This window comes from Homo sapiens, chromosome 2 (assembly GCF_000001405.40).
Source record: "Homo sapiens chromosome 2, GRCh38.p14 Primary Assembly".
Classification (NCBI taxonomy): domain Eukaryota; kingdom Metazoa; phylum Chordata; class Mammalia; order Primates; family Hominidae; genus Homo; species Homo sapiens.
Window position 1 is genome coordinate 99,323,297 of NC_000002.12, and position 18,370 is coordinate 99,341,666.

The following is an 18,370-nucleotide window of genomic DNA, read 5'->3' on the forward strand; positions in this document are numbered from 1 at the left end:
CTTGGGAGGCTGAGGCAGGAGAATCACTTGAACCTGGGAGGTGGAGGCTGCAGTGAGCCGAAACTGTGCCGTTGTACTCCAACCTGGGCAACATAGTGAGACTCCATCTCAACAAACAAAAAAAGTGACATCTTCTTTACATTAAAATTTATTTTCTGGCCTGATGCAGTGGCTCACGCCTGTAATCCCAACACTTTGGGAGGCTGAGGCGGGCAGATCACTTGAGGCCAAGAGTTCAAGACCAGCCTGGTCAATATGGTGAAACCCCATCTCTACTAAAAATACAAAAATTAGCTGGGCGTCATGATGGGCACCTGAAATCCCAGCTACACAGGAGGCTGAGGCACGAGAATCACTTGAACCTGGGAGGTGGGGGTTACAGTGAGCTAAGATTACACCACTGCACTCCAGGCTAGGCGACAGAGTAAGACTCTGTCTCAAAAAATTCATTTTCAACTGGCCAATTCACGAGTGTTTCTAAAACAGACTATTGTAACAATCTTTTAGACCGGTGGTTCTTAACCCCAGGTGTTCATTATGATCAACTTTTATTTATTCATCTTTTTTGAGTTGGACTCTCACTCTGTCACCCAGGCTGCAGTGCAGTGGCGCGATCTCGGCTCACTGTAATCTCTGCCTCCTGGGTTCAATCGATTCTCCTTCCTCAGCCTCCCGAGTAGCTGGGATTACAGGCACCTGCCACCACGCCCGGCTAATTTTTGTATTTTTAGTAGCGATGGGGTTTCACCATGTTGACTAGGCTGGTCTTGAACTGCTGACCTCAAGCAATCCACCTGCCTCAGCCTCCCAAAGTGCTGGGATTAGAGGTGTGAGCTACCACACCCAGCCTGCCGTCAACTTTTAAAATATCCAGATGAATCAAAATTCTCTGGCAGTGGAGTTGGGAAACATACAGCTGTTCTTATGCTCAAATAAAGCTTGAGAACTACCTCTAGATGACTCACACACAAAATACTTCATGGTTATTTTTACCAGTAAGCTTTTTGTGCACTTGATGTAGTTTTTCCTGAACTAAGTTTGGCTCTAACATAAGTTATGTGTAACCTTGGTGCCTCATCACTTTTTCCCCGGATATGTTTTTTCATATGTTACTCATGTAGTTCAGTAACGAGATTTCAGTGAAAAATGGTAAGAGAGAACAAATTAATAAATGGTTTTTAAATAAAGCTCAAAACAAATGATAAATCAACCTTTATATGAGAAATATGTTCCTGAAAATTTGTAAATAAATCAACTCCATACTTTAACTGCAGTAAGGAACGTATTTTTTTTTTGAGATGGAGTCTCGCTCTGTCGCCCAGGCTAGAGTGCAGTGGCACGACCTCTGCTCACTGCAACCTCCACCTCCTGGGTTCAAGCAATTCTCCTGGCTCAGCCTCCTAAGAAGCTAGGATTACAGGCACCCGCACCATTGCCTGGCTAATTTTAATTTGTATTTAAAGAGCAAGACAGAGTGTCTTGCTCTGTTGCCAGGCTGGAGTGCAGTGGCACGATCTCAGCTCAATGCAACCTCCGCCTCCCAGGTTCAAGCAATTCCCCTGCCTCAGCCTCCTGCACAACTGGGACTACAGGCACGAGCCACCATGCCCAGCTAACTTTTTGTATTTTAGTAGAGATGGGTTTTCACCATGTTGGCCAGGATGGCCTTGATCTCCTGACCTCATGATCCACCTGCCTCAGCCTCCCAAAGTACTGGGATTACAGGCATGAGCCATGGCGCCCAACCCGTCAATCAATTTTTAAAAATCCAAAACAACAGTCATGGTATAAATAGCTATAGGCCTTTACGTATGTTTAAAAATAACTAAAAGAGCATAATTAGATTGTTTATAACACAAAGGATAAAAGCTTGAGGTGATGGATATTCCATTTACCCTGATGTGATTATTAAACACTGCATGCCTGTGTTAAAATATCTCATGTACCCCATATTTACCTACTACTACCCACAAAAGTTAAAAATTAAAAAAATAGCAATAGGCTTAAAACATGGGTTCCAATCTCTCTCTTTTTTTTATCATTTAGTATCTGAGTGATACTAGGTGAGTCAATTTCTCCAAATCTTGGTTTCCATACATGAAATACAGGAATAATAATAAGTGCCTCTGAAGATTATTGTGAATGTTCTAGGGATAATATACATGAAAGCATCCTGCCTACTATGTGCTAGGAACTTTGCTAATATATAAAGTTCACTGGATGATTTTGATTTTTCAGTTCTGTTTGAAGGTGAGTACTCCTGGTGATGCACTGTTTATACACCATCAAATGTATTTATTGACCACCTACTATGCGTCAGGCAGTTGCTTTAGGGCTATGATCCCAGAGAACAGTAGGTCACAATACAGGCAAATGCGCTGCCTCTACAAAACGAACAATCTAGTTGGGAAAGACATAAAAAAAACAAGTGAGGCCGGGTGCCGTGGCTCATACTTGTAATCCCAACACTTTGGGAGGCCAAGGTGGGTGGTTCACCTGAGGTCAAGAGTTTGAGACCAGCCTGGCCAATCTGGAGAAACCCTGTCTCTACTAAAAAGACAAAAGTTAGCCGGGTGTAGTGGTGGGTGACTGTAGCCCTGGCTACTCGGGAGGCTGAGGCAGGAGAATCACTTGAACCCGGGAGGTGGAGGTTGGAGTGAGCCAAGATCCTGCCATTGCACTCTAGCCTGGGTGACAGTGTAAGACTCTGTCTCAAAAACAAAAAAAAACAACAAAAAAAAAACAAGTGGACAAATAATATTTTACATACTAGTATATTTATATATCACCTCATCATATTTGTCAGAGGTTGGCAACTTGAGGAATGTGTGCCAATGCGAGATGGTTGTGTACCATAAGGGCAGAGGTTTCTCTGATACCTTTCTACCTGCCTAATCCCTTCTCTCACTGTTCCTCACAAGGGATTTCACCATCTCAATATTTTGTTTCATTTTTATTCTCTTAGTCAATGAATACCAGGCAATCAATTCTTGAAAGGTGTTAACTAACAATGAAGCTGTTGGGTTGTGAGATCAAGACAAAGGGGCAAGAAGGCCACAGAAATGAGAAAGAGAGCAGGGCTGAAACCACAGTGAGTGCCAGAGACTCTAGAGCACAGTGCTTGTCTGTCCTGGGTAGGCAGGTGCCAGTCAGCAGATGACTGCCATCATAGTTCCAGCTATGCTATTAGCAAGTTTTCTGATTTTTTAAAGAAAAATTCTAAGTGTGGATATTTTCAAAAGGAGTTATCTCTCGATTTTTAAGTGTTGGCAACTAATCAAATCTGTGCACAAAAAACCACAAAGGCTTGGGTCCTTTGGTTTACGATGTGACCTCTTCTGAGGAGGTATTAACATTTTATAAGAGATCTGCTTCCTTAGAGAAATTTGGAGACCTAGGGTGGTCTAAGAAAAATCACTTCTCCTTCTAGCCAAGACTGGCAGTCCCAACTCTGCTCTGGTGAAAGGTTTGGCCAAGCCACCATCTCCCCACCACAGTTGCTAGTTCCTTCAAGGAGGAACTGAAGGAACACTGACTCTCAACAGCTGTTGCCCGTTCCCAATATCATGGCTACATCACAATACTAGAGGGAAATAATTACTGTCATGGTGATAAGAATTTTAAGTGTACATTTCTAAGATGTTTTTAGTTAGCTAGTGAAAATACAATTCAAAAATATAAGCCATTTATATGGGAATATTGACTTTCAGTAATATTCATTTATACTTTTGCATGTAACTGTTCTTTAAGTTACTCTTTAAAATAACAATTAACTTTTTTTTTCTTTCTTTTTTGAGATGGAGTCTCACTCTATCGCTCGAGCTGAAGTGCAGTGTCGCGATCTCCGCTCACTGCAACCTCTGTCTCCTGGGTTCAAGCAATTCTCCCACCTCAGCCTCCCCAGTAGCTGAGACTACAGGTACCTGCCACCACACCCGGCTAATTTTGTAGTTTTAGTAGAGGCAGGGTTTCGCCATGTTGGCCAGGCTGGTCTTGAACTCCTGACCTCAAGTGATCCACCCCCCACTTGGCCTCCCAAAGTGCTGAGATTGCAGGCTTGAGTCACTGGGCCCCTGCCTGCTTAACTTAATACTAAATAACATATGAGAGAGTACAATGAAACAACTTAGGAAGTTTTTTCTTTTAGTTTTCTTCATTTCTCTAGTAAGCCAGTATATCTCCAGCCAAACAATTCACTGTGTTTTTTTAGAAAAAGTCACAGATGGAAACAAAGTTACCTGAATGTGGAGTCTCTGTAGAAATGGCAAACCACATTTTCACTCTCCTTGACTTCTTGAAAAAAGTCTCTTTCACTAGGGATTTCTCTGTATTCCCCATGTCCTTTAGAAAGCCATTCCTAATTTGGAGAGAGGCAAAACATTACACATGTGAGATATCTCTTTCAGAACCACTTGACATTTTAAGTGTCCAAATCACCATCGTATTTTGTAATGAAGTCAATTAAAAAAAAAAGTTTTTTTTTTGTTTGTTTTTGTTTTTTTTTTTTGAGACGGAGTCTTGCTCTGTCACCAGGCTGGAGGGCAGTGGCGCGATCTTGGCTCACTGCAACCTCCGCCTCCTGGGTTCAAGCAATTCTCCTGCTTCAGCCTCCCGAGTAGCTGGGACTACAGGCGGGCACCAGTATGTCCAGCTACTTTTTGTATTTTTAGCAGAGATGGGTTTTCACCATGTTGGCCAGGATGGTCTCGATCTCTTGACCTTGTGATCCGCCTGCCTCGGCTTCCCAAAGTGCTGGGATTATAGGTGTGAGCCACCGCGCCCGGCCCAAAAGTGTTATTTATTTATTTTTTTTTTGAGAATGGGTCTTGCTAAAGTTGCCCAGGATGGAGTGTGGTGGCATGATCATAGCTCACTGCAGCCTCAAACCTCCTGGGCTCAAGAGATCCTCCTACGTCAGTCTCCCAAGGAATTGGGACCACTGGCGCATGCCACACCACGCCTGGCATTTTTTTTTTTTTTTTTTGGTAGAGACGGGGTTTTTACTATATCGCCCAGGCTGGTGTCAAACTCCTCGGTTCAAGCAATCCTCCCACCTTGTCCTCCAAAAGTGCTGGGGTTATAGGCATGAGCCACTGTGCCTGGCTGAAGTCAAAGAAAAATGAATGTTTTTTAGCAATTTACTTTCCTGTTTCTACTGTCAATGCAAAACTAGTCTACGGACAGTGAACGTCTCCACAGCATGGCCTGGGTTCAAGACAATTACCTGTCTTTGTAGCTTAAAACATCTATTTTCTCAGAACTTTCAAAATAAAAATTTAGACTTGAGAGACTCAGAATGTAAATATCCACTTAACTCTATCCATGTACTCTTAAACTACTAAAACCAGAAGCATTTGATCCAAGTTACTACAAGTCTTTTAAAAATAATGCTCATGAGGCTGGGTGCAGTGGCTGATGCCTGTAATCCCAGCACCTTGGGAGGCTGAGGCGGCTGGATCACCTGAGGTCAGGAGTTCCAGACTAGCCTCGCCAACATGGTGAAACCCCGTCTCTACTTAAAAAAAAAAAAAAAATACAAGAAATTACCTAGCTGTGGTGGTAGGCGCCTGTAATCCCAGCTACTTGGGAGGCTGAGGCAGGAGAATTGCTTGAACCCAGGAGGCAGAGGTTGCAGTGAGCTGAGATCACGCCACTGCCTGGGCAACAGAGTGAGACTCTGTCTCAAAAATAAATAAAAATAAAAATAATGCTTATGAGATAAACCCAATTCGTCTTGGGGAGAAAAGGAGGATACTGCAGCTCTGAAGCTCAAGAGCCCTGTCTGCTTTTGATAACCACTTTATAAATGCTTAAAAAGTCTCTATACCTGCACTAATTGTTAGAAAGGTCATCTCACACTGAACTGCAATATATCCATAATTCTGGTCTGTGGATTCCAGCTTGGATAAAGATTAAAGTTTTAATCTCTTTCCCACGTGGGCCCTTCAAACATCACATATTGCCTAAGTTTTCCCTTCTCCACACTGAACACTTCCAGTTCCTTTTAACTGTTCTCATATGAAAAGATTTCTAGAGTTCCTACTCTTCCAGGATATCAACTAAACACACTCTAATTCACCAATGTCTTCTTAAAATGTGACAGAGGTCTGAATCCAGCCTCCAGAAGGGGTCCAACCAAAGAGCCAGGAGGGCCATCTCCCTTCCTCCTCTGGACGTCAGTGAACGTGGCCCAGACTATATTGATGACTGCGGTGTCAAAATCACATCCATTTACATCGAGCTGACACTTGCAGGATACCCTGATATTTTCTTATGTGAAATTTCTACACACAGTTTAACTCTCAAATACAATTCCCTAATGACATATGACATTTCATGACTGCTTTCACAACTTACCAATGATATGTGCCCTTAAAAAGTATTTGTTAGGCTGGACGCAGTGGCTCACACCTGTAATCTCAGCACTTTGGGAGGCTGAGGCAGGTGGATCACTTGAGGACAGGAGTTTGAGAACAGCCTGGGCAACACGGCGAAACCCTGTCTCTACAAAAAATATGAAAATTAGCCAGGTGTGTTGGCACACACCTGTAATCCCAGCTCCTCGGGGGCTGAGGCACAATAATTGCTTGAACTCCGAAGGCGGAGGTTGCAGTGAGCCAAGATCACACCACTGCACTCCAGCCTGGGTGACAGAGCAAGACCCTGTCTCAAAAAAAAAAGTATTTGTCTTTTAAAAAGCTGCTATTTCTAGGCCGGGCGCAGTGGCTCACGCCTGTAATACTAGCACTTTGGGAGGCTGAGGTGGGCGGATCACCTGAGGTCAGGAGTTCAAGACCAGCCTGGCCAACATGGCGAAACCCCACCTCTACTAAAAATACAAAAATTAGCCGGGCATGGTGGCAGGCGTCTGTAATCCCAGCTACTTGGGAGGCTGAGGCAGAAGAATTGCTTGATCCTGGGAGGTGGAGGTTGCAGTGAGCCGAGATTGTGCCACTGCACTCCAGCCGGGGCAACAGAGCAAGACTCTTATCTCAAAAAAAAAAAAAAAAAAAAAAAAAAAAAGCTGCTATTTCTTTTCATTATTTATTCTCAGGTATTTAACCAAGAGGCTGAAGACCCGAACCTGTCCTGGGCTCCTTTGAGGGAGGATGTGCCCATTCCAAACCTCTACCAATGCTCAGGGCCTCTCCTGACACATTCACTACACCCCTGTGCTCTTAGCATAGCCCCTTTTGGACAGCATGTGCTCCTAAGGTATCTGCAGAACAGAATCAAGCAGGATGGGCCTACCTGAGGCATGGCAGCTGGGCAGCACCTGGCTGTCAGTGGCTGTCACCCAAGCCTCTGCTTAACTCCTATTTCTTACCTTATCCCTCTATTCTGCTCCCTACCTAAGTGTGCCAGCTCTAGTTAACAGTAGGAGGGTGCTTGGCTGACAGAAGAATATAGATTCACCTAGGTCTATTAAGTGCCGACTGTAAGTCAATGCATACAATGATCTCCCCAATACCCTCGTGGATCAGAAAATCAAAATTACTGCATAATCTAATTACTGTATAATCTCTTATAAAAAGAATATCTATACAAATCACTAGGTTTCTTGACTATTTCCAGAAAATATTTTAATAAAAGACCTACTAAAATGCAGTGAAAGTTCTAAAATAAGACCCTCTGAATTACTCGATGACAAATTCATTTTAAATTGATTTATACATTAATAATAAAAAAGGCTTATAGCCAGTCTGCCTTAGTTGGTTTTAATTATATTCAGACCACTGTTTTGAACTGCCAAAAAGTTCCTTTAAGACATTATTTAACGTATGTTCATCACTGCAAATCAGGTGAATTCAGTCTCTCTACAAAAATATCCTAGTTACAAATAATTATTTTTAGTTGCACATTAGCAATTAGTACTTAAATGTGACTATGAAATATGAGTTTGTGGCAGAACCTAAACATATATTACCTTAAATTCCAATAATCCGTCCTTTGCATACTAATTATCAGCCCTATACTATGAAAAGAAGCCAATTGGGCCTGGTGTGGGGTGGCTCACACCTGTAATCCCAGCACTTTGGGAGGCTGAGGCAGGCGGATCATTTGAGGTCGGAATTTGAGACCAGCCTGACCAACATGATGAAACCCCATCTCTACTAAAGTACAAAAATCAGCTGGGCATGGTGGCAGGCACCTGTAATCCCAGCTACTTGAGAGGTCAAGGCAGGATGGGCAACAGAGTGAGACTCCCTCTCAAAAAAAAAAAAAAAAAGAAAGAAAAGAAAAAGAAAAGCAGCCTATTTTTTAAAATACGGTAGGGTACAGGTAAAAGCCATATAACGTACTCTATTTTAGAAACTCAAAATATAAAAATTTGGACTCACTTATAAAAGATTATTTCCTTTTGTAGTAACTCTTCTAAACATGAGGGTGTAAACATATCAAAGTGATGCTACAGCAATACAAACAAAACTCCTTCTCTTTTTTTGTGGGGGAACTGGGTCTTGCTCTATCATCCAGGCTGGAGTGCAGTAGCACAATCTCGACTCACGGCAACCTCCACCTCCCGGGTTCAAGAGATTCTCCTGCCTCAGCCTCCTGAGTAGCTGGGACTACAGGTGTGCGCCACCACACCTGGCTAATTTTTGTATTTTTTGTAGAGACAGGGTTTCACCATGTTGGCCAGGCTGGTATTGAACTCCCGACCTCAGGTTGTCCGCTCACCTTGGACTCCCAAAGTGTTGGGATTACAGATGTGAACCACCATGCCCGGTCAAAACTCCCTATTTCTTCAGAAAAGTTAAGCCTCATGTTTAAGTCACAGTCAACTGAAAAGGAACCAGAGTTGGTGATAAAGTATTTCCATGTAACCCAGTGGAAAAAATGTTTTAATCAAAATTCAATTTGGCCAGGTGCGGTAGCTCACGCTTGTAATCCCATCACTTTGGCAGGCTAAGGTGGGCGGATCACTTGAGGTCAGAAGTTCAAGGGCAGCCTAGCCAACATGGCGAAACCCCATCTCTACTAAAAATACAAAACTTAGCCAGGCATGGTGGTGTGCGCCTGTAGTCCCAGCTACTCGGGTGGCTGAGGCAGAATAATTGCTTGAAGCCGGGAAGCGGAGGTTGCAGTGAGTTGAGATGACACCACTGTACTCCAGCCAGGGTGTCACAGCGAGACTCCATCTCAAAAAGCAGAAAAAAAAATTTCAATTTACAGAATTTAATCCACTGGTTTCAGTCAGAGTTTACAACTCTGCGTTTATTCTACACAAACATTCTAAGAGGCAACAACGATAGAGCTGTGGCCACCTTTGTTACAAAGCATGCATTCTTTTGAATATGCCACATAATTATTTCATTGGAAATGCCTGAAATACATTTTTCAACATAAATTGACTTAATTGCTCTTATCTCATCTGTCTTATCTCGTTTGCTTTGAAAATAGCTAAATCGGCTTTAATATTACCTGAAATGGAAACCAATGACTCCCTAGCCCTCCATTCAACCAAACAAATCCAAGCTCAGAAAAACGATCTTGGGCAGATCTTTCTTTTACTCGACTGTGGATTAATATAGAGATTGGGCTAATTTTGAATGTCTTTAAAACATATTTTTTTCTGGGCAAATTTTTAACAGTAATAGGTATTCTGAATTTTAAAAACCCTAAACACAAAGAACGAAATGTAACTACTACAGCACATGTATATATAAGTTGTTAGGCGCATACTGTTATAGCAATTTCAGAAAGCAGGGCAGAGAGGTTACTTGTTTCTGCTGTTGAGCTTTCCTTAGTGCCTGGAGTCTCTTTTCTTTAAGGCGTTCCAATTCATCCTCATCCATCTGATCCAGTTTTTGAATTTCAGAATCCAAATGTTCTTCCACCAGTTTGGTAGTCTGAAGCAGCTGATGCTCCAGGACTTTGGAAAACATGTCAACAGATGCATCAGCTTCCATTCTTCCAAATGGTACAGAGTTCAGCCTGGGTGCTGGGGAGAAGATTTACAAAATACATTTTAAAAAATGCAAACAATAAGCAAGGTTTTCTCTACCATTTTCAAAAATTCTGGCAAGTGTATAATGTGTACTCTATGGAGTATTCTAACGACATCCAAGCACTTGATGCTGGGCTTAACAATTTTTATGTGTTTTTAAATTTAATTCTCAGTAGGTTCTAGTCACACCACTCAAAAACTACTTACAGCAAATTTAGGGTGCTTCTGATTTAGCATATGTTTTACTATACTAAAGCCAAGACAAGTCTTTAAGACCATCACCAAACCACAGAGAAATGAGTTGTGAAGTTATACCTAGTGATATATACTGACAATCAGTGTTCTTTACCAATGGGAAAGAGAAATCAGAAACAACTGCGAACAATAGGAAGGTATACCTACTGAGGTTTTACACATAAATATATATATTAAACTTTACTTAAACACAGAGTACAGTTGAGCAAAACACAGATTTTTTTCATGGCTGCTGCCCAAATGAGTTTCATTTAACTCCTAAGACGTCTCATTACCATTTATGTAAAGAAGAGTGCCTGGTGTTCCCTGAGCATTAATGTCCATTCCTGTTCTCCCATTACCTAACAAAAAAGTCTATGAGGTCACAAAAATTAATACTGGTTTCCATTTACTGACAGTGTTAACTTTGATGTAAAACACTCCAAATACTTTTCTAAATTTTGGGTTTTTTTCCAACATCACTCCTCTGTGTAAAATCAGAGTTTCAAAATAGAACTAATTCAGATTAGAAAGGAAGACCTATCTCAATTAGTCATGCATCACTTAACAATGGGAATATATTCTAGGCTGGGTGCTATGGCTCACGCCTGTAATCCCAGCACTTTGGGAGGCCAAGGTGGGCAGATCACTTGAGTTCAGATGTTTGAGACCAGCCTGGGAAACATGATGGAACCCTGTCTCTACTAAAAATAGAAAAATTGGCCAGGCCCGGTGGTGTGTGCCTGTAGTCCCCGCTACTAGGGAGGCTGAAGTGGGAGGAGGATACCTTGAGCCCAGGAGGCAGAGGTTGCAGTGGGCTGAGAACGCACCACTTGCACCCCACCCTGGGCAACAGAGCCAGACCCTGTCTCAAAAACCAAAAACCAAAAACCCACAAAACAATGAGAATACATTCTGAGAAATGCATCATTAGGTGATTTTGATATTGTTTCAAACATTATAGACTATTTACACAAACCCAGATGGTACAGCCTGCTACACACCTAGGCTATGCCATACAGCCTATTACTCCTAGGCTACAAATCTGTACAGCATGTTACTGTACTGAATACTGCAGACAACTGTAACATAATGGCATTTGTGTATCTAAACATAGAAAAGGTACGATAAATACAGTATTACAATCTCATAAAACTGAAATGTCCTTATGTGGCACATGACTATATATTTTAAAAGAAATGGAGTATTTTGTACTAGCAATTAGTACAAAATTTTACTTTTTTTTTTGAGACGGAGTCTCGCTCTGTCGCCCAGGCTGGAGTGCAGTGGCGCATCTCCGCTCACTGCTAGCTCCGCCTCCTGGGTTCACGCCATTCTCCTGCCTCAGCCTCCCGAGTAGCCGGGACTACAGGCGCCCGCCACCACGCCCGGCTAATTTCTTTTTGTATTTTTAGTACAGACGGGGTTTCACCGTGTTAGCCAGGATGGCTACGATCTCCTGACCTCGTGATCCGCCCGCCTCGGCCTCCCAAAGTGCTGAGATTACAGGCGTGAGCCAGCCGCGCCCGGCCAAAATTTTACTTCTTTTAAAAGAAATGGAGTATTTTGTACGAGAAATTTTATACCAACAATTAGAGGGCAAGTTTATGTGTATCTCAGGGTTATTACTGCAGAAATGATTTATAATTTGCCTATCAAAGCAGGAGGCTGTTGCATATCAATGAACTATGATACATTTGCAAATAATACTGAAGCACCCCAAACTTCACAACAAACTGTGAATTCATTCACTCAGCTTCTGACACAGATTCTGACCCACACAGGCCCTCTATAAACGTTGAGCTGAAGAGAAATATTCTTGCAAACTTCAATTCTGATTCCTTTTTCTTTACAGGAAAAGGATTTGAAAAGCATACTTGATTTCATCTTTGTATCTCCATAGAACACAGCAGGTACTCAATAAACATGTATTTAACGTTGAATGAACACGTGCCTGACTTCTGTTCAAATTACTACACTGTTAAGTTTCAAAAGTATTTGAGTCTAAAAAACCAAATTGTAAGCTCCTCGTGAGTGCTATAAAATTGGAAAGGTGCTGTATTTCAAACACAGCAAAGATTTCCACGCTCCCTATCGCCCAAGAAAAATGTCAGTAGGACTGTGACCCTCAGTGAGGGGGCTGGAAGGAGAAGATAATAAGATACTGAATTGAACGTTGGAAGCTGTGCTCCAGGGATAAGCACAGAGAATGCCTACCCTGGAACTTTATAGAATGAGCCCAGAATTTAATTATGGGATAACTGGAAAAAGACGAGATTAAGAAGAGCTATTCTGGGTGTAGGTGTTGGTGGTCAGAGCATTGAGAATGGGGTAAAGAGACGATGCAACCCCTCGTTAGCTTTTCATTTTTCAAACCACAGCCTCTGATTCTTCCTTTTTACAGCTCCGCTGGAAGGGTGGGACGGGACACAGCGCGTCCTCAAATTCCCTAGTCATTTCCTGGACACCCTTACAGGTATCCGCCAAAACAATCAAGGGGCCTGGTCCTTAACTGAACCCCAGGTACCTCCCCAATGGCAAGCCGGCCACTCCCTGCGCCCGGGGAAACAGAGGAAAGCACAGTCCCGGTGGCCCCAACTTCGACGCCTCCTGGTGCGCTTGCGCAAGAGCCTCTGCCAGGACACCGACACCGGTGCTGGGGCCGCGCCCCTCCTCCGCTCCGGATGTGGAGCAGCAGAATGTTCACCAGCACCCGGACGTGGTGGTCGGATTCTTCTCACTACCCTCTGCCTCACCTGAGCTCTCGGTGACGCCTGAGAAGTGAAAGAGCAGCAGTTTCAAAAGACACGTCCACTCCGGCTTTTGCCTTGCAGTAGCTGCCGGCGGCTGCAAACGGGCCGTCACATCCGCCTCCTTATTGGCTGCGAACCTCGCGCGATATCACCTTGGACGCCAGAGGAAGGGGCGGGCGGTCGGGTGGCGAACAGTTCTGCGCGTGCGCCTCCCGCCCAGCAGCCCGGAACCCAAGGTGTCCGACCCTTGCTTTCCTCCGGGTACACGGCCGAACTGGAAGGCCGCAAAGCATTGTGGGAGTTGCAGTTTCTTAGTGCGCAGGCTGTCGTGGCCGGACTTTCTCAGGAGCGTGCTTCAGTATTCACGGTCCAGTGCGCCAGACTGGAAATGAGACAGCTGTGCTCTCGCTCAGCCGTGACGCTTGAACTGCGTTTCCATTCTGTTAGTGTTGAATGAACATTTTTCTTTTTTTTGTTTTCTTTTGTTAACATTTTTCCTAAAGTCGAGGCATAAACATATACAGCACAATTAACTTTTGCATAGTTAAAACCCAAAATATCACCGGCCAGATCCAGATATAGAACATTTTCCACCACCCCTGTAGGTCCCCTCTTGACTCTTCGAAACACAGGAATTTTTAGAACTCGCCCTCGCTTTGAGGGTGAAGCTGAAGACCTATGTTAGGGAATTGATCGGCTGTGTCCTGTTCTGTTTTATTCAGTGACTGTACATAATGCATAATGCATGGATGTTACTGAGAGGTCCCTATTTTGTCCTGAATTTATCTCTCTCGCAAACCCCCAGAGGACTCTATTGGTTCGTTGTGGTTCTTTACTGAACTTCGTGCGGCTGAGAATACAAAGATATAAAGGGAAGCCCAAAGCCCACTCCTGAACCGAAGCGTGCGTTCCCCGTTGGGAGAGGGGTGAGGTGGCGAAATTGACAGCTTCATTGTCCACCTCCGGGTTCTAGAACGTGGAAAACCCGCGGGTGTCGGCTCGTGGCGGACGCTTGAGGGCAGGGGGCGCTCGGGCTGCTGCCTGGTCGGCCGGTCAACCGGAGACGCTCTACCCGAAGCGCAGCTCTCGATGAGCCGCGCCCTGCGTCCTCACGCCGAGGCGGCTGGGCGATGCGCTTGCGCACTGAGAACTCACACCATATGTGTCCTGTTCCAGTGCGCGGGTCTGTGGAGAGCCGGGTGCGAGCGGCGGCAGCACGAGGGGAAAAGAGCTGAGCGGAGACCAAAGTCAGCCGGGAGACAGTGGGTCTGTGAGAGACCGAATAGAGGGGCTGGGGCCACGAGCGCCATTGACAAGCAATGGGGAAGAAACAGAAAAACAAGAGCGAAGACAGGTAGATAGGGGTTGGGTCCGTACGGCGGCGGCCGCCGTGGCTCAGTGGAGTGTGCGGGTCTCGCCGGGCGCGGCGTCGGACCGGGGTCTGGGCTCGCGATGAGCTTCGCGGGGTACCAGGCCTGGGCCCAGAGTGTGCGGAGCGGGCCCAAGCCCCCGGGCCGGGTGGGCACGTAGGGCCTCGACGGCGGGCGGGTCCTCCCAGTCGAGCCTCGCTCCCCCGGCACCCCTTCCCCGGCCTGAGGAGCGGGGTAGTCATTTGAGGGTTCCTGGTCGCGCGGGGAGGGTCAGGCGGCTTCGCCAGCGTGGCCCAGGCCAGTGTGAGTTTTTTTCCGCGCTACTCTTGGCGAGGGTGGGGAAGTTCTTTTTATGCCTCTTATACCTGTGAGTACTTTGGGAGGGAAGGGAGCTTGAATGTGATGTACGGCCGGGTTTCTCTACTCGCGGTTTCAGGTACGTTAGAGTTATGGGGAGGTGTTTAGCAGTTCGCTGTCTCTCAACTTAATCTGATTTGGATACAGTTTTCGTTTATTTAAGGGCTGATTGTCCAGCCCTCATGCTTTTCGCTTTCCTTCTTCCGGCCTGTTTTTTTTTGTCGTTTCTTTGCTCTCTAGCCTTCCCCTAAGAAAGGAAGGGAAGAAGAAGAAACCAACCAACCGAGGTCGCTCCTTTCTAACCACCTGCAATGCTTTGGGGAGGGAGGATAAGGGTATATGCGAGTTACTTACCTAGAGATTTTTGAGACATTTCTGTGTGTCACATTCGATTGAGTTCTGTTACTCATGATGGAAAGAGTTGACTTCCTGGGAGTGAACAACATCTGTTACATTACACGTTCGTACACTACCCACCAAACTTAAATACGAGGCGGAGAGTAAGGTAAATTAAAAAAACTAGTGCTAGTTCATCAGTCTGACTCAAAACAGATATGTTGTCTTGAAGTTAAAATAAGTTTACTAATTATAAATTGGAAGCCTGGATCGTTTTCTCACCTAGCGTTTGACTAGCTTATGAGTAGAATTAAAAGACAACAAAGATAGTCTTGTATTTCAGTTTTAGGTCTATTGGAGGAAGTTAATTGGTTTGGAGAATTGAATTATTGTTAAACCAGATGAATGAGAAAATAAGGATTATGGGTGATGTAGGGGAACACAAATTTCTGTACTTTTGACAGGAATTTTTGATGTATAGGGTACTTTTTTCCTTGCTAATGTTCAGCTGTCTCTAGAAAATAGAGAACTGAGTATAATGAGCCTTTATGTATTAATTACCTGCCTTCAACCATTGTTAGCACATGACCTGCTTGGTTTCATCCCACCTACTAGAAGTGTGTGTATATATATATATATACAAATATATATACACACATATATATAAATATATATATATACAAATATATACACAAATATATATATACATTTTTTTTTTTTTTTTGAGACGGAGTTTCCCTCTTGTTGCCCAGACAACAAGAAACTTAGGGCAATGGCGCGATCTCGGCTCACTGCAACCTCCACCTCCCTGGTTCAAGCGATTCTCCTGCCTCAGCCTCCGAGTAGCTAGGATTACAGGCATGCACCACCACATCCGGCTAGTTGTGTATTTTTAGTAGAGACGGGGTTACTCCATGTTGGTCAGGCTGGTCTCGAACTCCCGACCTCAGGTGATCCGCCCGCCTCGGCCTCCCAAAGTGCTGGGATTACAGGCGTGATCCATCGCCCCTGGCCCCCACCTACTAGATATTTTAAAGCAAATCTCATTAGCTTTTCATCTGTAAATCCACCAAGTATATCTGTAAGAAATATTAATAGTGATTCTTAAACATTAGCAAATATTCAGTCAGTTTGCTGATTTCCCTGATTGTCTTATTACAGTTTTTTTTTCAATTCGTTCGTTTGGTTTAGGATTACACAAATGTGTTCTTTAGATTAAAATTACATATATATGTGTTTTTGTTTTGTTTTGTTTTTTGGAGATGGAGGGGCAGTCTCACTATGTTGCCCAGTCAGGTCTTGAACTCCTGGCCAGTGATCCTCCCACCTCAGCCTCCCTAGTAGCTAGGACTACAGGCGCGATCCGGCTTATATGTTTCCCTACTTACACTTTTTACTTTCCAGGCTCTTTCACAATAGAAAAAAGCCATTGGGAGACAAGATGTTTATTCTTGTCTGTGTCTTTTTAGGGAAAAGTGAGTGTCTCATTGATTTATAAAGATTTTCAGGGATGCTGTAAAGTTTAAATTGCACACTAGACCCTGTTGTTAAATGATTGGTTTGGTTGTGTAGAAGAAATGCTGTTTTTTCCCCCTCTCAACCTAATCTGTGTTTTGTTGTTGTTGTTGTTGTTGTTTTGGTTTGTTTGTTTTTGGCTCATGTTGAAGGGAAAGTGGTGGCAATATAATTTTAAAACATTTATTTTCTCATATACCAATATATGAAATTGATACATTTTGTGAGTGTGTGTGTGTATAAATGCCTCATGGACTCCTTTTTATGAATGGCTTTCAGATTGTGTTTAAGAAATCCTGAGCTTTAGCAGAGTTCCCTTTGACTGGAACTGCTTGGGTTTTTATTTTGGTCTTCCACATGAGATATTGGGAGATGGGGAATGGGAAGTTCCACTGCTTTGTGAGTCAGCTTTTTACCTTTATTTTAATATTTCTTTCCTTTCTTCAGGGATATTTTGAATATTTGTAAATGGGACAAAAACACAGACTGGAAAGAAAATCTAGAGGGAGAAAGTCCAATTTTAGGATTAGTATTCTTGTTTGTGTAAAATGAGATAGAGATCCGGTTTTATTCTCCTGGGTGAAGGTCCACACTTTAAAGATTTTACTGTCATTCCACCTCCCCTCCTTGGCTATGTCAGGCATGTTTCTGGCAAGGTGTGAACTGTGTGAGAAATGACAACTGCTTATTTAGTTATCAAGAGAAGGCATGGAGCCACTTTTCAGTTCTTGGACAGAACATACAATACTCACTGTCCTTAATTCTTATATTTAATTAATCCTTATTTTAACTTCTTAGCCACTCAGTATTCATTTAAAATTAGATTTTAACTTACCTAATTTTATTTGTACAGCATGTGTCAGTGATCAAGATATTTATTCTTGTCTGTGTATTTTTAGAATTCTAGAATTTTGCTTAAAGACCAAGTTCTAGAATTCTGTTCCAGTTTGTGAAAAATCTTCTTTTTTTTTTTTGAGATGGAGTCTTGCTCTGTCACCCCGGGTGGAGTACAGTGGCGCGATCTCCACTCACTGCAACCTCCGCCTCCTGGGCTCAAGCGATTCTCCTGCCTCAGCCTCTCAAGTAGCTGGGATGACAGGCGCCCAACACCTGGCTAATTTTTGTGTTTTTAGTAGGGACAGGGTTTCACCATGTTGGCTGCCTGGTTTCAAACTCCTGAACTCAAGTGATCCTCCCACCCTGGCCTCCCAAAGGCCTGGAATTACAGGTGTGATTCACCACGCTCAGCCCCAGTTTGTGTAATTCTAAGAATGAGATTTTGATGTGGTGTTTGTTCAGCAAGTTTTCCTGACCTTTTTCAGTTGACTCGGGAAACTTGTTGAGACAAAGGCTAGGATTCAATATCCACATATCAAACAAATATAATACACATAGCCTAGGTTTAATAAAGGAATTCATTTCTTACTTGCATATATTTGAATGAAACTCTTGTCTGCATAAATTACATCAAAAAAAGATGCATAATCAGAATTCTTTTGGTCTAGCCTGTTCCTATCCTGACGCTTTAGGAAGTGGTAGGGGAAGAAGTCCTAGTTTGCTATAAATTAATAAGAAAACAGATTATAGATTTTTGTTGATAGTAACCTCTCTAGCCTTCCATGCTGTCCCTGTGGGGAACTCATTCAGCTACTTTTAATGTTACTTGCTCATTTGTTGTGCTTTATTTATGCTTCTAAGTTTATTCCAGTATTGCAGTTGATCTATAAGGTGGGCAGAGTGTTGTTTTACCAAGGAACTGAGTGTCAGTGGTTAGGTTAGAATAGCAATTCTCAAATTCTGGTCCTAGACTCCTTTACACTCTTAAATTCCTAAGGAACACAAAAGGCTTCTGT

General features: G+C 43.4%; 2 protein-coding genes across 3 annotated transcripts in view, besides 12 other annotated features; one reads left to right on the forward strand and one right to left on the reverse strand.

Moving 5' to 3' along the window:
- TXNDC9 (thioredoxin domain containing 9) overlaps positions 1-13,037 on the reverse strand; it is a 30,150-nt gene extending 17,113 nt beyond the window's left edge. For both annotated transcript variants that reach the window (XM_017003147.3, NM_005783.4), the window contains exons 1-3: positions 12,943-13,037; positions 9,726-9,946; positions 4,239-4,357 (exon numbers count right to left, since the gene is read on the reverse strand). In XM_017003147.3, the coding sequence (XP_016858636.1) occupies positions 4,239-4,357; positions 9,726-9,914 (308 nt within the window). In that variant the 5' untranslated portion in view covers positions 9,915-9,946; positions 12,943-13,037. The remainder of the gene's footprint in view (positions 1-4,238; positions 4,358-9,725; positions 9,947-12,942) is intronic.
- Positions 12,522-12,751: an enhancer, noted in NCBI's record as "active region_16281". NCBI's record gives its function as "activates an Ori minimal core promoter by ATAC-STARR-seq in GM12878 lymphoblastoid cells {active_cell/tissue: GM12878}" and the evidence as "EXISTENCE:reporter gene assay evidence [ECO:0000049][PMID:35858748]".
- Positions 12,805-13,345: an enhancer, noted in NCBI's record as "H3K27ac hESC enhancer chr2:99952564-99953104 (GRCh37/hg19 assembly coordinates)". NCBI's record gives its function as "activates a minimal SCP1, AML or CMV promoter by ChIP-STARR-seq in primed H9 embryonic stem cells {active_cell/tissue: H9 hESC(primed)}" and the evidence as "EXISTENCE:reporter gene assay evidence [ECO:0000049][PMID:30033119]".
- Positions 12,882-12,931: an enhancer, noted in NCBI's record as "active region_16282". NCBI's record gives its function as "activates an Ori minimal core promoter by ATAC-STARR-seq in GM12878 lymphoblastoid cells {active_cell/tissue: GM12878}" and the evidence as "EXISTENCE:reporter gene assay evidence [ECO:0000049][PMID:35858748]".
- Positions 13,182-13,331: an enhancer, noted in NCBI's record as "active region_16283". NCBI's record gives its function as "activates an Ori minimal core promoter by ATAC-STARR-seq in GM12878 lymphoblastoid cells {active_cell/tissue: GM12878}" and the evidence as "EXISTENCE:reporter gene assay evidence [ECO:0000049][PMID:35858748]".
- Positions 13,692-13,741: an enhancer, noted in NCBI's record as "active region_16284". NCBI's record gives its function as "activates an Ori minimal core promoter by ATAC-STARR-seq in GM12878 lymphoblastoid cells {active_cell/tissue: GM12878}" and the evidence as "EXISTENCE:reporter gene assay evidence [ECO:0000049][PMID:35858748]".
- Positions 13,752-13,831: an enhancer, noted in NCBI's record as "active region_16285". NCBI's record gives its function as "activates an Ori minimal core promoter by ATAC-STARR-seq in GM12878 lymphoblastoid cells {active_cell/tissue: GM12878}" and the evidence as "EXISTENCE:reporter gene assay evidence [ECO:0000049][PMID:35858748]".
- Positions 13,852-13,961: an enhancer, noted in NCBI's record as "active region_16286". NCBI's record gives its function as "activates an Ori minimal core promoter by ATAC-STARR-seq in GM12878 lymphoblastoid cells {active_cell/tissue: GM12878}" and the evidence as "EXISTENCE:reporter gene assay evidence [ECO:0000049][PMID:35858748]".
- Positions 13,974-14,475: an enhancer, noted in NCBI's record as "H3K27ac hESC enhancer chr2:99953733-99954234 (GRCh37/hg19 assembly coordinates)". NCBI's record gives its function as "activates a minimal SCP1, AML or CMV promoter by ChIP-STARR-seq in primed H9 embryonic stem cells {active_cell/tissue: H9 hESC(primed)}" and the evidence as "EXISTENCE:reporter gene assay evidence [ECO:0000049][PMID:30033119]".
- Positions 13,974-14,521: a biological region, named in NCBI's record as "H3K27ac hESC enhancer GRCh37_chr2:99953733-99954234".
- EIF5B (eukaryotic translation initiation factor 5B) overlaps positions 14,093-18,370 on the forward strand; it is a 63,938-nt gene continuing 59,660 nt past the window's right edge. The window contains exon 1 of the mRNA NM_015904.4: positions 14,093-14,293. Coding sequence (NP_056988.3) covers positions 14,259-14,293 — 35 coding nt within the window. The 5' untranslated portion in view covers positions 14,093-14,258. The remainder of the gene's footprint in view (positions 14,294-18,370) is intronic.
- Positions 14,182-14,291: an enhancer, noted in NCBI's record as "active region_16287". NCBI's record gives its function as "activates an Ori minimal core promoter by ATAC-STARR-seq in GM12878 lymphoblastoid cells {active_cell/tissue: GM12878}" and the evidence as "EXISTENCE:reporter gene assay evidence [ECO:0000049][PMID:35858748]".
- Positions 14,362-14,521: a silencer, noted in NCBI's record as "silent region_11807". NCBI's record gives its function as "represses an Ori minimal core promoter by ATAC-STARR-seq in GM12878 lymphoblastoid cells {active_cell/tissue: GM12878}" and the evidence as "EXISTENCE:reporter gene assay evidence [ECO:0000049][PMID:35858748]".
- Positions 14,476-14,975: an enhancer, noted in NCBI's record as "H3K27ac hESC enhancer chr2:99954235-99954734 (GRCh37/hg19 assembly coordinates)". NCBI's record gives its function as "activates a minimal SCP1, AML or CMV promoter by ChIP-STARR-seq in primed H9 embryonic stem cells {active_cell/tissue: H9 hESC(primed)}" and the evidence as "EXISTENCE:reporter gene assay evidence [ECO:0000049][PMID:30033119]".